The sequence below is a fragment of the Homo sapiens genome, chromosome X (assembly GCF_000001405.40).
Source record: "Homo sapiens chromosome X, GRCh38.p14 Primary Assembly".
NCBI classification, from domain to species: Eukaryota; Metazoa; Chordata; class Mammalia; order Primates; family Hominidae; genus Homo; species Homo sapiens.
This window is the reverse complement of record NC_000023.11, coordinates 72488559-72509355: the sequence shown is the minus strand read 5'-3', so window position 1 is coordinate 72509355 and position 20797 is coordinate 72488559. Positions and strand designations below refer to the sequence as shown.

The window sequence follows — 20797 nt, the reverse complement described above, 5'->3', positions numbered from 1 at the left end:
TGGCGGATCACTTGAGATCAGGAGTTCAAGACCAATTTGGCCAACATGGTGAAACCCCATCTCTACTAAAAATACAAAAATTAGCCAGATGTGATGGTGCTCACCTATAACCCCAGCTACTCAGGAGGCTGAGGCAGGAGAATCATTTGAACCTGGGAGGTGGAGAGGTGGAGGTTGCGGTGAGCTGAGATTGTACCACTGCACTCTAGCCTGGGCAACAGGCAAGATTCTGTCTCAAAAAAAAAAAAAATTGATAAGAGGGTAGATCTTATGTTAACTGTTCTTATTACAATAAATAAATAAATAAACAGGGCAGGAAAAACTTTTGGAGGTAAGGGATAGTTTTGTGGCATAGATTGTGGTGATGGTTTCATGGGTGTATACTTAACTCCAAATTCATCAGGTTGTAAACATTAAGTATGTACAGCTTTTGGTATGTCAATCATACGTTTCTTTGTTTTCTATTGCTTTAACTGAATACCTGAGACTGAGTAATTTATGAAGAAAATAAATTTATTTCTCACATTTTGGAGGCTGAGAAGTTCAAAGTTGAGGAGCCACATTTGGTGAAGGCCTTTTTTCTCGTGAGGACTCTGCAGAGTCCCAAGGAGTGCAGGGCATCACATGGCAAGGGGCTTAGAAGAGATGGCCACATTGGCCTTTATAACAGACCTACTCTTGTGGTAACTAACCCACTGCCTCAATAACCCATTAATCCATAAAGAGATTATTCTTGAGGGTAGATCCCTCATGACTCAATCAGCTCCAAAAAGGCTTCACCTCTTCATACTGTTATATTGGTGTTTAAGTTTCAACACGAGTTTTGGAGGGGACAAACATTTAAGCCATAGCATACCTTAATAAAGTGGTTTTAAAAATTCAAATTCAAGTTCAGACACTTTCTACCTATGTTTCCTTGGACAAGTTACTTAATTTCCCTGTGCTTTAGTTTTCTCATTTGTTCAATGGGCATAATAGTAGTACCTACTTCACAGGGTTTTTGTGAAAATTTATTGAGTTAACAATATTGAAAGCACCTAGTACAGTTCCTGGCACAGGGTAATCACTTAATAGATGTCAGCTATTATTTTTATTATATGCCAACAACAGAGGAAAGCCAAACCTTACTACCAATGAAAGTAAAAAATTGTAAGAGGTATGCTAATATGTAAAGAGAAAATAGATGTCTGAGCAAGTCTTAGGTCCAAATAAGAAAACATTATTGGAAATCTATAATGCTAACTTCTGATACCAGTACTGGCATAAAAGATTGTTGCAAAATCTTTGCCAGTAACAAACTGTTGAACAGAGCAGGTATCTGGTTGTGCCTGGGTAAGGTAGCCACCTGCTTGCTGTTTTACATAAATTTCTTGATGTCGTGATCAAAGCCCCTGACCTTTAATGGACCTAAAATGGCAAATGCACACAAGTAAATACAGTTGACTGAGCCCTGCACTTTTTCTTAAAGATTGATTTTGTGGTTTATAATTCACCAGGGTATTTAAGAAGCAAGATATATCTGGAAAAACAAAAACAAAACAACTGCCAAACCACAACGCTGCAGACACATTTCAGAAATGTGCTTTCAGAAATACGTTTGCAGAACCTGGTCTCTTCCATGAACATGTTTGTGTTGATGATGTGAAAGACAAAATGTACCAGACAATTAAGGAAATGATTTTATTCAGGTATTGCAATAGGGGGAATATTTATTAATGAGGACCAGCTCAAAGAAAATGAAGGAAGCCTGGCATTTTATAGAGACAGGTAAACAAGGGAGTCATCTGTAAGTCTTTTGGGAGTTGTGAGGAAGGATGGAGATGGGTCTTCCCTTGGAATAATGTGTCAGTGTAGGATGGTCACTTGTGGTTAACCTTTTCCTGGAAAACAAAAGGTTGGGGGGGATTTTTTAACCATTACTGCTTTCTAGGGTACACAGGGCTCAGATAAACTTAAATACTGTCATTTCTCTCTTTTGTTTAAAACAAATATCATTTATAATTGAGCCACTCAGAGGAGAACATAAAGCTCCTAAGTGAGGTGAAGCTGAAGTCTAAGAAATAGTCTCTCAAGGACTCTTGTTGGTATTGTTTCTGTAAAGCCACTTGAACCATCTGTTGAGAGACAATGGCAAAGGTCAGTTGTTTTAGGGTCCTGGAAATTAGGCATATTAAAAGAGGGATGGCAATAATGAAAAAAGAAATGTTGGCCAGGTGTGGTGGCTCATGCCTATAATCTCAGCACTTTGGGAGGCCGAGGTGGGTGGATTGCTTGAGCTCGGGAGTTCGAGGCCAGCCTGGGCAACATGGCAAAACCCCGTCTCTACAAAAAATACAAAAAATTATCTGGGTGTGGTGGCATGCACCTGTAGTCCCAGCTACTTGGGAGGCTGAGGTGGGAGGATCACTTGAGCCTGGTGGAGGTTGCGGTCAACTGAGATCATGCTGCTGCATTCCACCCTGGGTGACAGAGTGAGACCCTATCTCAAAAAAAAAGTTAATATAAAAGATTATATTATAGTAAAGAGCCAAGAATTGAACCCTGAAAGTAACCAGTCCAGTGGATTCCAACGCATCAGTGGAAGAGAACTTTTCCATTTTGCAGCACCACTCATGGAGCTAGGGTATGGGTACTCTTGGCAATGTTGTTTGTCCACAGTCTTGGTTACCGCTATGGTTTATATGTGGTTTCCCCCTGCCAAAACTCATGTTGAATTTAATCCCCAATGTTAAGAGGTGGAGCCTAATGGGAGGTATTTGGGTCATGGAGGCAGATATCTCATGAATAAATTAATGCCCTCCTGCAGAAGTGAGTGAGTTTTTATTCTCTCATGGGAATGGATTTGTTCCCACATGACTGAGTTGTTTTAAAGAAGTCTAGTATCCTCAGTTTCTCTCTCTTGCTTTCTCTCTCACCATGTGATCTCTTTGCACACACCTGCTCTCCTTCTGCTTTCTGCCATGAATGGAAGCAGTATGAGGGAGGCCCTTACCAGATGCAGCTGCCCAATTTTGAACTTTCCAGCCACCAGAATTATAAGCCAAACAAACCTCTTTTCTTTATAAGTTATCCAGCCTCAGGTATTCTGTTATAGCAACACTAAATGGACTAAGACAGTCATCTTTCATGTAAAAGGTATGCATGACTTGAGCATTTCTTACAACTTCTATCATAGTCTAGGCAGCAGCTTGTTCAAGGAGAATTCTAGTCATGCATGGTCGGCTGCAGTTCTGTGTTCGTCTAGGTTTATATTGAGCCACTGGAGTTTAGCTTGCAGGGCTGCCTCAGATCCTGGAAAAGAGGGCAAGCTCCAAGACAACTTAGAGTCCCAATAGGGATTTGGGCAGTCGGGTTTTAGTTCTCAGTGACTCTGAGTCAGGTGGGAGGGAGAAAACTTGGAAAAGTTAGTTTGGAGGATATTAGCAAGATATTGAAGTAACCTAGAAGAACTGAAAATTTGGTAAAGATTGACAATTTGGACAAGTTAACAAGATCCAGTTTGATTTACAAGTAGGTGCCAAAACTGGTTTTTCCACAGAAGAAAAGGAAGTCAATTATCTAATTTTTTTTTTTTTAAACAGAGTCTCTTCACCCAGGCTAGAGTGCAGTGGCACAATCATAGCCCACTGCAGCCTCAGACTCCCAGGCTGAAGCAATCCTCCTGCCTCAGCCTCCTGAGTAGCTAGGACTAAAGGTGCATGCCCAGCTAATTTTTAAAACTTTTTGTGAAGATGAGGACTTGAATTCCCAGCCTCAAGCAATCCTCCCACCCCAGCCTCCCAAAGTGCTGGAATTACAGCATGAGCCACTGCGCCTAGCCCTAAGGAAGTCAATTATATCTCCACCAGACAAGATAAAGTTTGCCTATCCATCAGTAACCTGTAGCTTATAAGTAGGTACCAAATAGCTCAAAGACAGTGAATAGGACTAGACTCTGATAACCTAGAGTGGTGTGCCATAGATGAGGCAGAGTTTTCTGCTGAAACACAAAATTTCTCTCTATAGTCACTTCCTTTTGACTAAAGATAATCTCAAGAAAGATTATTCTTGAACGCAAAATAAGGCTGGTCTCAAAAAACAAAAGAAAAATAGTTAAACTGGAGTTCATCAAAATGTAAAGCTTTGGGGCTTCAAAGGATATTTATCAACAAAGTGAAACAACAACCTGCAGAATCGGAGAAAATATGTGCAAATCATATATCCAATAAGTGTGTGACATCCATAATATAAAAAGAACTCTTATAACTCAACAGCAAAAAAAAAATTAAAAAATTTTTAAATTTTTAAAAATTTTAAAAGATTAAAAATTTAAAAATGGGCAAAGGACTTGAATAGACATATCTCCAAAGAAGGTCTACAAATGGACAACAAGCTCATAAAACAATGCTTGACATCATTAGTCATCAGGAAAATGCAAACCAGATCCACAAGTAGATACCACTTCACACATACTAGGATGGCTAGAATTTAAAAACAAAAATAACTGGAAAATAACAAGTGCTGGTGAGGACGTGGAGAAATTGAAGCCCTTATACACTGCTGGCGAGAAAGTAAAATGGTGCAACTACCGTGAAAAACAGTTTGGTCGTTCCTCAAAAGTTAAACATAGAATTACTATATGACCTAAAAATTCCACTTCTAAGTATAAATATTCAAAAGAATTGCAAACAAGTACTCAAACGAATACTTATGCACAAATGTTTATAGCAGCACTATTCACAATAGCCATACAATGAAAACAACACAAATGTTACCCATTCGTCAACAGATGAATGGATAAACACAATGTGGGGTGTGTGGGTGTGTGTGTGTGTGTGATGGAATATTATTCAGCTCTAAAAAAAGAACAGAGTACTGGCACATGCTACAACATGGATGAACCTCAAACACATTATATTAAGTGAAAGAAGCCAGACATAAAAGATCACATATTGTGTGATTACACATATAAAATATCCAAAATAGGTAAATCCATAGAGACCCAACACAGATTACTGGTTGTCAGAGGCTGGAAGGCGGATGAGAGTGTAAGAAGTGAATGTTTAATAAGCATGGGTTTTCTTTTGAGGTAATGGAAATGTTTTAGAACTAGGTTGAGGTGAAGGTTACACAGTATTGTAAAGGTACTAAATGCCACTAAATTGTACACTTTAAAATAATTAATTTTATGTTATGTAAGTTTTGCCTCAATAAGAATATTAAAAAGTAAAAATTAAGTCTCATTAGATTTAGCTTGATTATTTACATAGGCACAGTAAGAATGGTAATTTACCAAATAGACCTTAAGCTTGCTTTGCTCAAAGTTTTCATAAGGAATCTGAATTTGAAATTTTAAAAGCCTATCAAGCTAAGAAGATTTTACTTGCTGCATCTATAAATGTGGGAGAACTGTTCTCTTTTTGAGGTCGACAAAATATCCTAAGCTTCTAAGACTTGCCAGGAAGTAACCTTCCTTACTCAGTTGTAAGGCTGAGAACCCTGTAAGTCAGGTACCAGGCTAGTTTTCCCAAGAGGGCTTTGTATGCATTGGCTCCATAAAGTCAGCCTTAGTTCCTTAAAAGTGTCTGATCATATCTGATTCAGTGAGCATCATTCACAAATATGGCATTCCAGGTAAGGCCTTGGTTACATACCAATGTTTCTAATCATGATCTGGTAAGAAGGGCAGACAGATTTTTATTGAACCAATGCAGATATTTATATTGCTATGAAAATAAGAATACTCAATGAGAGTTTCCAAATCCTGGAGAACTCAGGGGTATAAGATATCATTTACAAACATTTCATTTCAGTTTACAAAAGCATGGTCTACTAGATAGTTATGAATTATAGATAGTGTAAGAGAAAAGAGAAATAGGAAGTGAGTTTCTTATATATCCAGAAAACAGAATATTAAAGCTTTAGCAATATTCCAAACAAAACCCAAATCATCCCTTCTATCATTCAGGTCTATGTAATTAGTTCTTTTTCCACTCCACCTTGGGTTAGCACTATCTTATTAACACACTTGCTTCTCAACTAGAGTTCTCAAAATCCTGCCTCAGTTCACTAGTGTGGTCTCAAAGTTGTTTAAACCATCTCATCATAAGCCTGTACACAAAAGTACCTGGCATAGTTCTTTTCCACGGGACTCTGAAAAAGTGCTTTGTTGAAGATGAAGCCCTCTAGCTTGTAGCTGATGCAAGTGCTTTCAGGGAAGCATTGGTGTAAAACATAAAAAGCTGTCTACCTGTAGCTGATAAAAGACTTACAACAGCTATGGTTAACTTATTGCTGATCATTTTCAAAAGGGAAAAATACAATAAGAGTTCATTACAAGAATAATAAAGCAACTGACAAAGAGGTGTAGTTTCTGTGGTATGGAAAATGAGATAAAAGTCAATCCAAAAATTTTTTTTGACAAAATATCTTTTATTTATTTATTTTTTTTGAGACAGAGTCTCACTCTGTCACCCAGGCTGGAGTGCAGTGGCGTGATCTCAGCTCACTGCAACCTCCCCCTCCTGGGTTCAAGCGATTCTCCTGCCTCAGCCTCCTGAGTAGCTGGGACTACAGGTGCATGCCACCACGCCTGGCTAATTTTTTTTTCGTATTTTTAGTAGAGACGGGGTTTCACTGTGTTAGCCAGGATGGTCTCAATTTCCTAACCTTGTGATCCGCCCGCCTCAGCCTCCCAAAATGCTCGGATTACAGGCATGAGCCACCACGCCCGGCCAAAATATCTATTTTCTTAAAAATTTTTAGTTTAGGTTCGGGGATACTTGTAAAGGTCTGTTACTTGGTAAACTTGTGTCACAGGGGTTTGTCATACAGATTATTTCATCACCCGGGTATTAAGCCCAGTACCCAACAGTTATCTTTTCTGCTCCTCTCCTTCCTCTCACCCTCCACCCTCAATAGATCCCAGTGTCTGTTGTTTCCTTTTTTGTGTTCATGAGTTCTCATCATTTAGTTCCCACTTTTGAGTGAGAACATGCAGCATTGATGAGCATTCCAAGTCTTTGTTGTTGTGAATAGTGCCGCAGTGAACATTCACGTGCATGTGTCTTTATAGTAGAATGATTTATATTCCTCTTGGTATATACACAGTAGTGGGATTGCTGAGTCAAATGGTAGTTCTACTTTTAACTCTTTGAGAAATCACCATACTGCTTTCCTCAATGGTTGAACTGGTTTACTCTCCCATCAACAGGGTATAAGTGTTTTCTTTTCTCTGCAACCTCGCCAGCATGTATTATTTTTTTGAATTTTTAATAGTAGCCACTCTGACTGGTGTGACATGGTATCTCATTGTGGCTTTGATTTGCATTACTCTAATGATCATTGATATTGAGCTTTTTTTCCTATGCTTGTTGGCCGCATGTATGTCGTCTTTTGAAAAGTATCTGTTCATATCCCTTGCCTACTTTTTAATTGGGTTTTTGTTTTTCTCTTGTAAACTTGTTAAGTTCCTTAAAGATGCTGGATATTAGACCTTTGTCAGATGCATAGTTTGCAAATATTTTCTCCTATTCTGTAGGTTGTCTGTTTACTCTGTTGATAGTTTATTTTGCTGTGCAGAAGCTCTGAAGTTTAATTAGATCCCATTTGTCAACTTTTGCTTTTGTTGAAATTGCATTTGTTGTCTTTGTCATGAAATCTTTGCCCGTTCCTATGTTCAGAATGGTATTACCTAGGTTGTCTTCCAGGGTTTTTATAGTTTTGGGTTTTACATTTAAGTCTTTGATCCATCTTGAGTTGATTTTTGTATATCCTATAAGAAAGGGGTCCAGCTTCAATCTTCTGAATATGGCTAGCTAGTTATCCCAGTACCATTTACTAAATAGGGAGTCTTTCCCCCATTGCTTGCTCTTGTCAGCTTTGTTGAAGATCAGATGGTGATAGGTGTGCAGCCTTATTTCTGGGCTCTCTATTCTGTTCCATTGGTCTATGTATCTGTTTTTGTACCAGTACCATGCTGTTTTGGTTACTGTCAGCCTGTAGTGTAGTTCAAAGTTGGGTAACATGATGCTTCAAGCTTTGTTCTTTTTGCTTAGGATTGTCTTGGCCATTTGGGCTCTTTTTTGGTTCCATATGAATTTTAAAATAGTTTTTTCTAGTTCTGTGAAGAATGTCACATGTATTTTGATAGGTATAGCATTGAATCTGTAAGTTGCCTTGAGCAGTATGGCCATTTTAATTATATTGATTCCTCCTATCCATGAGCATGGGATGTTTTTCCATTTGTTTGTGTCTTCTCTGATTTATTTGAGCAGTGTTTTGTAATTCTCTTTATAGAGATCTTTCACCTCCCTGGTAAGCTGTATTCCTAGGTATTTTATTCTTTTTGTGTCAATTGTGAATGGAAGTTCTTTCATGATTTGGTTCTCGGGTTGACTATTGTTGGTATGTAGGAATGCTAGTGATTTTTGTACATTGATTTTGTATCCTGAAACTTTGCTGAAGCTGTTTATCAGCTGAAGGAGATTTTGGGCTGAGATTATGAGGTTTTCTAGATATAGAACCATGTCATCTGCAGACATAGTTTGACTTCCTCTCTTCCTATTTGGATGCCCATTATTTCTTTCTCTTACCTGATTGCTCTGACCGGGACTTCCAATACTATGTTGAATAGGAGTTGTGAGAGAGAGCATCTTTGTCTTGTGCCAGTTTTCAAGGGGAATGCTTCCAGCTTTTGCCCATTCAGTATGATGTTGGCTATGGGTTTGTTATAGATGGCTGTTATTATTTTGAGATATGTTCCTTCAATACCTATTGAGAGTTTTTAACATGAAGGGGTGTTGAATTTTATTGAAAGCCTTTTCTGCGTCTATTGAGATGATCATGTAGTTTTTGTCTTTAGTTCTGTTTATGTGATGAATCACATTTATTGATTCGCATATATTGAGCCAACCTTGCATCGTAGAGATGAAGCCTACTTGATCATGGTGGATTAGCATTTTGTTGTGTTGCTGGATTCGGTTTGCAATTATTTTGTTGAGGATTTTTGCATTAGTATTCATCAAGGATATTGGCTTGATGTTTTCTTTTTTGTTGTATCTCTGCCAGGTTTTTGTATCAGGATGATGCTGCTCTCATAGAATGAGTCGAGGAAGAGTCCCTCCTCCTAAATTTTTTGGAATAGTTTCAGTAGGAATACTACCAGCTTTCTTTATACATCTGGTAGAATTTGGCTGTGAATCTATCAAGTGCCAGGCTTTTTTTAGTTGGTAAAGCTATTTATTACTGATTCAATTCTGGAGCTCATTATTGGTCTGTTTAGGGTATCAGTTTCTCCCTGGTTCAGTCTTAGGAGGGTGTATATGTCCAGGAATTTATCCATCTCTTCTGGGTTTTCTAGTTTGTGTGCATAGAGTGTTCATCATAGATTCTGCTGGTTATTTTTGCTTCTGTGGGGCCAGTGGTAACATTCCCTTCATCATTTCTAATTGTGTTTATTTGGATCTTCTTTCTTTTCTTCTTTATTAGTCTAGCTAGCGGCCTATCTTATTAATTTTTTCAAAAATCTAACTTTTGCATTCATCAATCTTTTGAAAGGTTTTTCATGTCTCAATTTCCTTCAGTTCAGCTCTGATTTTGCTTGTCTTATGCTAGCTTTGGGGTTGATTTGTTCTTGCTTCTCTAATTCAGTTGCAATGTTAAGTTATTAATTTGAGATCTTTCTACCTTTTTGATGTGGGCATTTAGTGCTAGGAGTTTCCCTCTTAACACTGCCTTAGCTGCTTCCCAGAGATTCTGGTGTATTGTATCTATTTTCTTATTAGTTTCAAATAACTTCTTGATTTTTGCCTTAATTTTATTATTTACTCAAAAGTTATTCAGGAGCATGTTGTTTAGTTTCCATGTAATTATTTTGTTGCATGGCTTTGAGTGATTTTCTCAGTCTTGACTTCTATTTTTACTGTGCTGTGTCCCAAGAGTGTATTTGGTGGTATGATTTCAGTTATTTTGCGCTTGCTAGGGATTGCTTTATGTCCAATTATGTGGTTGATTTTAGAGTAAGTGCTATGTGGCAATGAGAAGAGTGTATATTTTGTTGTTTTTGGGTGGAGAGTTCTGTAGAGGTCTATCAGATCCAGACAAAAATGTCTATATACATAATGATTAGCCCTTGTCTTAGTACATCTGTGTTCTTTTAAAGGAATACCTGAGTCTGGGTAATTTATAAAGAAAAGAGGTATTTGGCTTACAGCTCTTCAGTCTGTACAAGAAGCATGGTGCCAGTATCTGCTTCTGGTGAGGGCTTCAGGCTGCCTCCACTTATGACAGAAGGTAAAGGGAAGCCACATGTGCAAATCACATGGTGAGAGAGGAAGCAAGAGAGAGGGAGAAGGTGTCAGGCTCTTTTTAACAACCAGCTCCCAGGGGAACTCTAGCAGTAACTAATAGAGTGAGAACTCACTCATTACTGTGAGATCACAACCAAGCCATTTGTAAGGGATACACCCCCATGACCCAACACTTCCCACTAGGCCCCACCTCCAACACTGGGGATCAAATTTCAACATGAGGCTTGGAAGGCCAAATATCCAAACTGTAGAAATCCTATTTTCAAAGAAGAGAGGGTATTATATGTAATTTATAAAAATGCATGAACATCATCTTTATAGAGAAAAAAGACTCAGATATAACATATAATAATCCTGACATAATATATCATCAATATACCAAGCATATAGGTTGAATATACCCAGAATATATCAAGAACATCAAGTAAAGAGATTCAGTAATCTGGAATAGTTCTTAAACATGTGTATATTAACAGAATTTCATAGGTAAATGATGTGAATCCCCAGTTGAAAACTAATGACTGGAAAAATGCTAGATTCAAAACAAAGAAGCAATGTGGAGACCAAGTTAACATTTTAAAAAGCTGAAATTATTACTGAAAACACTATACTATAGTTATCTAATATCTAGCAAAGCAGCATCAGGATTCTGACATATCTCGGCCAGTGAGAGCACTAATGAATCTGTAGAAACGTTCCATACAGCATACAATTTCTAAAATGTTTATGCTAATAACATTTTCCTATACCAATTTAACCTAGAAAAAGCAAAGCATCTGTTCTGATTTGACAACTCTTCCCATGCAACTCCTCAATAGTAATATATTGAATAAATCTAATTCTTTCTAGCACTTCTCTTTCAATAAGGTGAAAGAACAAATCTTTTTTTTTTTTTTTTTTGCCATTTTAACAGTGAGGAAACCAAATTCTAGCTTTGCATCAGAATATTTGATACTAAAGTTCTTTTTGGAAATATTGTAAATCAACTCATCAAACCTTAGCCAGCCACCTCAACAAATAAAATTCCCTTTCTGTGATCCCTCTACAACTTTCTATATCTATATGCATCCTTTATAACAACTTCTTTAATTGGCAAAAAATAGCATGTTCATTACCAGGCCCAAGTATACATAACTTTTCTGCAGCATGTAGAAATAAGAAGCAAAAGCATACAAAATTATATGTAGTAATTAATATTTCAGCATTCTCTTACTTAGAAATGGTCTAGGTATGTAATGAATATTCATTAATTCAATTTAGTATCAGCTCAAAGTTTTTAGTTACCTAAAGATTTTATAAATTATCTTCAAGTTGATATACTGCAAAACATAATTACTGTTGAAATAAAGTTTGTCAGAATAACGACTCAACTTGGTTAAACAAATTTACATTTTTTATAATCGTAAACACTTAGGAGAAGTAATGTTAGCTCATTCAATCAGTAAACCTGTCTATGTTGAGGAAGAATATACTCAAGTAGAAAAAAAATCTACCTGTATATTATGCCCAACACTGATAAATCAGAAAAGACATGGCTGGTTTTAGTAAGCCAAAAATTACTAAGTTAGTCTCATTTGCCCAAGATTTACCTAAATTATATGAACTTGAATTCTTAAAGTATTTGAGTTTGTTTTTATAGGAATACTTTTTTTAGCATATTGAAAATCTTGAACGTTCAATTGCCTTATTTTCTGGGGATTTTAGGAATATTCTATTTATCTAAACACTTATTATTTCTATAAGCCAATGAGAACAGAGCTCCTTTAAGAGATTTTATCATCTAATTTAGTAATACTATCCAGAGGTAGAAAAATGTTACAAATTCATACAATGAGACATAAAGGCCTTTCTGAATGATAGACATCATCTTCGTCATCATTATTATTATTCAGGCTATTGCCATGAGGAGAATGTTCATTAGTGTAAGGAACATCTTAAAGAAAAGGAAGGGGGCCACCTGCTTAATGGAGGCAGGTAAATAAAGGAGTCATCTACCAGTCTTATGGGCATGCTGAGGAAGGAGAGAGATGAGTCTTTCCTTAGAATATGCCAGGGCAATGTGGTCCTTTGCAGTTCGCCATTTCTCGTAACGCAAAAGGGTGGAGGGTTTCTTAACCATCACTGCTTTTGCAAAAGCACAGGGCTCAGGTAAATCTCAATGTTGTCAATGAGAAGAGTCTACTTTGTCAATTTTGTCTATAGCTTTTCTCTGTATTCTCCTTTATCTGCCATATTATTTCTGGTTGCCTTTTTTGTTTGGATGATTGGTTTTTTTTTTTTTTTCTGTGTTTATGCCTTATCTCCCCAATTTAATTGTAAGTTCTGTGAGGAAAGGAAGTATGTCTTGTATTGATTTGTACTCTTCCTCCACATCTCTCTCCTCTTTTTGCCTAGCACTTAGTGTTCCGTCCCATCTACCTAAAAGTTATTGATGTTCAGAAGGTCAGCAAATTATCTCTTTTTTTAATGTGCTAAGGCAGTAAACTTACAAAATGTAAGCTTTTCATAATTGGAAAATAGCATTTGCATCTAAGAACTTCCAAAATCACACATTTAATTCTTATTTAAAGAGAATTCATAGATGGAGAAATCTTTTTCTTTAATTGGTCTCTACCTGGTTGCATATCTAAGGCCAAGCTATTCTTTGGCTAGATGATTGCCGAGTTCACCATCATGAAGCAAAGTCAGTGTCTAAAGATATTTTTACCAACCTTCTGCTTGCCAGTGTACATGTCTTATTGATTCAGCCTGTGAACCAGGGCATTATTTAGAATATGAAATGTTATTATGGAAGAGATTTCATGAAGAAGTTTATGCATTGTGAAGGCACTACAAAGAGCTTTACAGTCTCATAGTAGCAAAGATGCCATTTTAACTGTTGCTTATGCCTAGGCAATCTCAAGGAGAACTCAGAAAAAAATGGGCTGGATATTTGAAGTCTCTGTGGAAGTGAAATAAATTAAGCATTTAGGATGAGGCCTTAAAAATAACTTAAATACACTCTTGATGATAAAGAATGTTATTTGACATCTAATCAGCAAGGCTTAATGGAAGTGTAGTAAAAGAGCGGGTTAACCTTGACAAGGGGTTAAAGTGACGCATTATCACTGATAGCACAAAAGTTAAAGGACACCAGTGAAGTCAATGAAGAGAATTTTAGTGAAGAAAACAAAATAACTTTATAAAAGACTGCTTCACTCTTCGTTGTAATAATTGCATTTACAGACAGGCGACCACATTATACTGCCCAGGAGATTATGCATTTGTATATTCTACACTCAGCTTTTATGAGCAACAAGTGCAAAACTAACTTTTTAAAAATTCTAGTTTGTGTCATAGGGTCAGTACAGAGAATCCAATCTCTAACATCTTCTACATCTGGCTGAGCAAGATTGTCTTTAAGGCCTCTTCTAGATTCTAGCTTTCTTAAAGTCCTGTAAGTGATTACCAGTGTTCCTCATGATGACCCCAGGGTATACAAATTTTTTGAAGTGATTCCTAAATCCAGGGAAAGGTGGTTCTCTCTTGTTCAATATAGTTATAATATTCTAATGCTTTGAAAATCTGGGATCATGAATGGAAAATATTACCAATTTACCCAAATATTTACTTTACTGAAACACTTCATTCCCTGATCATTCTGGGTCATTTACTTATAATCTTTGTAGATGGATTTCTGTTTTTCTTAAAAGAAGGGGGAACTTTAGGGGACTAGATCTCAAGGGTTAGATCCTTGGCTGTAAAGACTCCCTTGGATTGCTTTTTGGCTGTTGGCTGTAGCAACTTGTTTTCTTACAGAGATGAAGCATCTGGTTTTTGTTATCTCAATGATGCTGTCCTGGGAATATTACGATTGCGACGGAAATTTGAGCGTATTCTCTACGTGGATTTGGATCTGCACCATGGAGATGGTAAGCCCTTTGGTTTTAAAGATGCTTTGCTGCGAGGACAGCAGGTTTTTATCAGTTAAGCTGCTTCTAGGCAACTGGTAGAAATGTCTGCTGTAATTGAAATTTTCCTAATTGAGAATTTAAAGTAGGTAGTGTAGTGATTCCTCTAATTGATGCAATTCCTGCTTTGCTGCCCAAGCCAGGCTCCTGTAATTTCCTCTTCTCTCTCCTCCTGTAGCAAGCCTCTAGAACTAATAGAGAATGTTAAGAAGTGAAAATCTTACCTAGTGTTTACTCCAGTGCTCAGTAACCTCCCTCAGGTCATTTCCATTCATTCTAAGGGAATCTATAGGGATGACAGTCTTGTCTCTTTTCATTGATGCTTTTCTCAAGATAGAATGGGCGTATGATGGGCTAACATTCTGAATTTTTCACCAATAGGTTGCCAACTCGTGTAGTGATCAGAATCTGTGCCATTTTCTTTGTATTGCTAAAATATTTAGTGCCGTACAAACAGGACATCTTCCCTAACATTTAATAGCAGAATCACTTAGCAGTTTGCCTTAACCCATTAATCCTCTCTTAGAAGACTCCACTGACAGGATTTATCCGACCCTCCTATGTATTTTCCATCTAGAATGTAGAGCTCCAGTGACAGTTGCCACATTCTGTTTCTTTAAGCAATCCTCTCTGGGACACGTAGTATTTCCATTTATTTAAGAACACTTATCCTGTAAATTCTTAGTTAAAAATACTCCTCCCTCACATCAATGATTGCCATTTCCCTGTTTCCAGGGATTTTTTTTTTTTCAGACAAACTAACATAATCAAGGCATAGAGAGGAAAAGAATATTATATGTCTGAAGCTAGGGTCAGCTCCACTGCCAAAACAGAGAAAGAAGGATGAAATTGTTGAGGGAACCTTTCCAGAGAGCTTCATCTGCATGGATGCTACCATGGAACGATGACAGAAAATTAAAGGTAACAGAGAGAAGAGAGGTTAAAACCACCAATATACTACTTTGAGAACCATTTTCACTGAATATCTGAATGCTCAACCAGTGCAAAACATAGCCTTGCTCAAAAGCCTTCAGAGACTCCTTATTGCCTATAACAAGGGGTAGCATTTGACCTATGGCTTGTTTTTGTATGGCCAGTAAGCTAAGAATGGTTAAGAATGGTTTTTCCAGCCAAGTGCAGTCGCTCATGCCTGTGATCCCAATATTTTGGAAGGATGAAGTGGGAGGACTGTTTGAAACCATGAGTTTGAGACCAGCCTGGGCAACAAAGTGAAACCCCCATCTCGAAAAAAATTAGCTGAGTTTGGTGTTGTGTGCTTATATTCCTAGCTACTTAGGAAGCTGAGGCAGGAGGATCGCTTGAACCCAAGAGGTCAAGGCTGTAGTGAATTATGATCGTGCCACTGCACTCCAGCTTGGGCGACAGACCAAGCCATTGTCTCTTAAAAAAATAAAATAAGAATGGTTTTTCCATTTTTAAAGGGTTATAAAAGAGAAAATATATTTTTTAAAAATGTGTCTGTGTGTGTGTATATATGTGTGTGCGTGTGCAATAGAGACCTTGAGTGGTTTGCAAAGCCGAAAATGTTTACTATTTAGCCACTTAGTTCATTGACCCCTGGCCTACAGCAGTGGTTCTCAAACTTGAAAGTGCATCAGGATGACCTGGAGAAGTTTGTTTTAAAATGCAGATTGCTGGGCCATATCCACCAGATATTCAGATTTAGTAGGTCTGGCATGGAACCAAAGAAACTACGTTTTAATACCTCAGCTGTTCTACAGGCCACACTTTGAAAAACAGTGGTCTTCAAGGTAGTCCACACTCTTTACCTAGTCTTTCAAGGCCTACCTTGAATAGGTCTCACCTCATCTTTCCACCCTTATCTCTCATTACTTGCTGTCCAGGCTACACTACTCAATGAGCATGTCTAACTATTCATGACATGTCTCACTATTCATGACATGGCTCAGTATTCCCAGACATGTCTCATTATTCCCACCTCCCTGACTTTGCCTCCTTTTTTCCTAATTTAGTTTTGTTTCACCTGTCCCAAGGTCTACCCATTTGTTCAAGTTCCAACAGTAACAGATTTGCCCTGACCACTCCAGCTCAAGTGTTCTCTCCCTCCTCTCAAGTCCCGTATTATTCATATCACCAATTTGATATTTCATTACATATTGCCTTGTATTTCTAATTAATTTTTTAATGTGTCTGTGTCTTCTCTTCCCATAGAAACTATAAGTTCCTTCAGAGCAGAGATCAAGTTGTTTACTTCTTCCTGTTTTATATAATGCCTTGAACCAACAGTACTATGCATATAGTAGTGGCTCATTAAAATATTTGATCAATGAATGATTATGAAATTCAAACTATTAGTATCGGAGTTTAAGAATACAATCAACTCTACAGAACCACATAAGAATGAACTGAAACTGTCACCTGAAAGTGTTCTTTCCATTTGCAATGTTATTTCTACACCCTTCAGAGTTTCCTGTTTTAGCCAACTTTTATGGTGTGTTTCATTTCAGTTTATTTCCCCTCTTCAGCACCTCCCTTACAGTGACCCCTGCCCCACCCCCCAACACTTATGCATTTGGTTTATTTTAAATCTCCCATGATTACATAACTAGCATCCTGTGGTGGCTTCACTAGCCACCCCTACCCCATCCTTGCCTTCTTTCATCTACCTAACTACTCTCCTCTTTCCCACCAAGTCCATAGCTTCCTCCTATCTGTGTACATCTCCTTTTTAAATATGATTTTATAACTGTGCCTAGTGGTATTTCCCATGAGAAGAAATACAAATGGCCACTAAACTTATGAAAAGGTGCTCAACACTCTAATACTCAAAGAAAGGCAAATTAGAGCAAAACCATTCTTTCTGCCTAAGATTAAAGAGAATAACAATAGTTTGGGAACTCTCATACATGATTGGTCCAAGTGTAAATTGGTACAACATTTCTGGATTGATCAATAATCAGGATTTTCATGAATTATCCTTGTTTAAGACTTCATTTCTAAGTTGAAATACTATTTTCATTTATTTTGTTTGTTTTATTTTTTTTACTTCATGCTTTTTGCTTAGAGCCTTTAACTGGATTTAACTGCCTCCCTAGGGCCAAACATAAGGCTTGGGAAATTCAAACATACCTGTTATATATAAATAGAGTTAATATTTTTTTAAAGTCGCTGTTGGGGCTGTAGTGAAGACTGAAAACATTAAATAAATACAGAGACAATTTCTTTGTTTGAAGTAAGAAAGAGGACAGTACCTGAATTTGCTAATAGTCCTCCCATTTTACAGATTGATTATCTGAACATAGTGTGACTATATGTGATTCTGAGAGGAAAGGGGTGGAGGTGGGCAGTGTGTTTACCTGTATACGTAGAGGCTTGTGAGGGTTACTTTAAATCCCAGCTTTTATCTCCCAGGCCTCTAATCGTTTACTCACTAAGTTAAAATGGAAAACAGACCCCTTTCTCGCCCATCTTTCTTCAGATTTTAAAACACTCTTATAAGGCTGCTATTAGGAGACAAGGTCACGGCTGTTTTCAGCCTTCCATGTTTTAGCCAGAAAGATGTACTATAAGTTACTTATTTATAACCAAATCTGCATTATAGAAAGGCACTTTATAATTAGGTTTTTGGTATATAATGGCTAATGTTTCTATTGGTCATATTTTTCAAAGGGTTATCACGTTGTACGTCTTTGGAAAAAATCCCAAGACTTTAACTATAACCACTTAAACAAGACAAAACATACAACTTGTAAGATGGTTCCAGTTTCCCTTATTCAATTCTGTTGATAATGCCTCAATTCTAGGCTCTCGCCTTTCCCTACTTTTTAGAACAGGTTGTCAAAGAGAGCCCAGACATCCCATTGCTTGGAAAGGGGAAGTCCAGTTATAGTTTTCCATGAGTTTGAAAAGGAACCCCCAAACTTCACTTGGGGCCAAAGTTCTACCTCATCTTGTAATTACGAGATTAGAGACCAGAGGTTCGTATTACTTTTATTCCTCAGCTTGTTAGTTTTATATTGCTGCCTTCTCATCTACCCTCCTTCTCACAGCTGCTTTCTAGATTTTCAGATGTTGAAAATAGGAATGCCATATGTGAAGTGATTCTTTTGATGTTTCTTTATCTGTTAGGTGTAGAAGACGCATTCAGTTTCACCTCCAAAGTCATGACCGTGTCCCTGCACAAATTCTCCCCAGGATTTTTCCCAGGCAAGTGATCATAAACTCAGTATTACATTTGATGACTAAATACTGAAATTCTTCTACACATTTCTTATACTTGGACAGTTCCATGCTGTTAATGCCTTACTGCCACAATCCTATGCAAAATTTTTTTTTTTGCATTTTCATTCAGATAGGAGATAATTTTGTAAATTTCTTTTTTATTATACTTTAAGTTTTAGGGTACATGTGCACAATGTGCAGGTTAGTTACATATGTATACACGTGCCATGCTGGTGTGCTGCACCCATTAACTCGTCATTTAGCATTAGGTATATCTCCTAAAGCTATCCCTCCCCCCTCCCCCCACCCCGCAACAGTCCCCAGAGTGTGATGTTCCCCTTCCTGTGTCCATGTGTTCTCATTTTTCAATTCCCACCTATGAGTGAGAATATGCGGTGTTTGGTTTTCTGTTCTCGCGATAGTTTACTGAGAATGATGATTTCCAATTTCATCCATGTCCCTACAAAGGACATGAACTCATCCTTTTTTATGGCTGCATAGTATTCCATGGTGTATATGTGCCACATTTTCTTAATCCAGTCTATCATTGTTGGACATTTGGGTTGGTTCCAAGTCTTTGCTATTGTGAATAGTGCTGCAATAAACATACGTATGCATGTGTCTTTATAGCAGCGTGATTTATAGTCCTTTGGGTATATACCCAGTAATGGGATGGCTGGGTCAAATGGTATTTCTAGTTCTAGATCCCTGAGGAATCGCCACACTGACTTCCACAAGGGTTGATCTAGTTTACAGTCCCACCAACAGTGTAAAAGTGTTCCTATTTGTCCACATCCTCTCCAGCACCTGTTGTTTCCTGACTTTTTAATGATCGCCATTCTAACTGGTGTGAGATGGTGTCTCATTGTGATTTTGATTTGCATTTCTCTGATGGCCAGTGATGGTGAGCGTTTTTTCATGTGTTTTTTGGCTGCATAAATGTCTTCTTTTGAGAAGAGTCTGTTCATGTCCTTCGCCCACTTTTTGATGGGGTTGTTTGTTTTTTTCTTGTAAATTTGTTTGAGTTCATTGTAGATTCTGGATATTAGCCCTTTGTCAGATGAGTAGGTTGCAAAAATTTTTTCCCATTCTATAGGTTGCCTGTTCACTCTGATGGTAGTTTCTTTTGCTGTACAGAAGCTCTTTAGTTTAATTAGATCCCATTTGTCAATTTTGGCTTTTGTTGCCATTGCTTTTGGTGTTTTAGACATGAAGTCCTTGCCCATGCCTATGTCCTGAATGGTGATGCCTAGGTTTTCTTCTAGGGTTTTTATGGTTTTAGGTCTAACGTTTAAGTCTTTAATCCATCTTGAATTAATTTTTGTATAAGGTGTAAGGAAGGGATCCAGTTTCAGCTTTCTACATATGGCTAGCCAGTTTTCCCAGCACCATTTATTAAATAGGGAATCCTTTCCCCATTGATTGTTTTTCTCAGTCCTGTGCAAAATTTTAACACAGGTCACCTCAGGTGACAATAACAAGAAGAATGACATTAAAGCTGTTTCTTTTTCCAGGTGATTTTTATGGACTGTTAACAGATCACTTATGCTTACTATACTAGTAGACACCCCATGCAACTCCTAACATCCTGAATAATTGCAGTGATAAATTGATGTTATGTCAACCTAAAAAGCATGAAGCCAAGCAAAGGAGTTAATCTCTTATTTTTTCATTTGATCCAGTAAGGTGAAAACTGAGGTTTTTCAGTTTCCTTATGATTTGCCTGCTTCTCCAAGATTGTTTACAATACTTACTTCTTTATATAATTTTTCTTAATTTCTTTCCCTAGAAATTTCCCTATCAGGAAATCCTTTAAGTTTTCTGGGTTCTCATGTTCCTAATAACTGATCATAGTGCTCTTCTCTTTTATAGGAACAGGTGACGTGTCTGATGTTGGCCTAGGGAAGGGACGGTACTACAGTGTAAATGTGCCCATTCAGGATGGCATACAAGATGAAAAATATTACCAGATCTGTGAAAGGTATGGCAGTAACACTAGCCAGTAATAAGTGGATTGCAGTTCTGTAGGATGAAATGGCCCCCATCTCACAATGTAAACAAGAACAATGTAAAAAAGAAAACATCTATATACCTATAAAGCTTTTGTATACTGGTCATTATGCTTATTTGATCAGTAGCTATCCGCTGTATGGCAGAGCCAAGCAGTTGGACCAGAGCCATGCTCCAGGTTGGATCTTACTCAATATGATTAAGCCCATCCCAAGAGCAGAGCTTTTTTTGCTATCCTGAAGAATCCCTTATTTGCTACTTTCTTAGCTAAATAAACCTACATGTGTCTTATTTCATTAACCTGGCAGGGTTCATTTCAGTTGTCAGGGTTCATTATGGAGACCT

General features: G+C 37.5%; 1 protein-coding gene across 20 annotated transcripts in view; it reads left to right on the top strand.

The window, feature by feature from the left end:
* Nucleotides 1-20797, top strand: part of HDAC8 (histone deacetylase 8) — a 243328-nt gene that overhangs the window by 63488 nt on the left and 159043 nt on the right. For 10 of the 20 annotated variants that reach the window (NR_199815.1, NR_051952.2, NR_199812.1 and 7 more), the window contains 3 exons: nt 14088-14200; nt 18350-18427; nt 20315-20423. The exons of 2 other annotated variants lie outside the window; for them this stretch is intronic. Coding sequence is in view for 13 of the 18 variants with exons in the window: in NM_001166418.2 (NP_001159890.1) it covers nt 14088-14200; nt 18350-18427; nt 20315-20423 (300 nt within the window). In the remaining 5 variants the exon portion in view is untranslated. Of the gene's footprint in view, nt 1-14087; nt 14201-14974; nt 15161-18349; nt 18428-20314; nt 20424-20797 lie in introns of those variants that run through there. 8 more of the 20 variants (XM_047442255.1, XM_017029644.3, NM_001410727.1 and 5 more) reach the window with 3 other exon arrangements.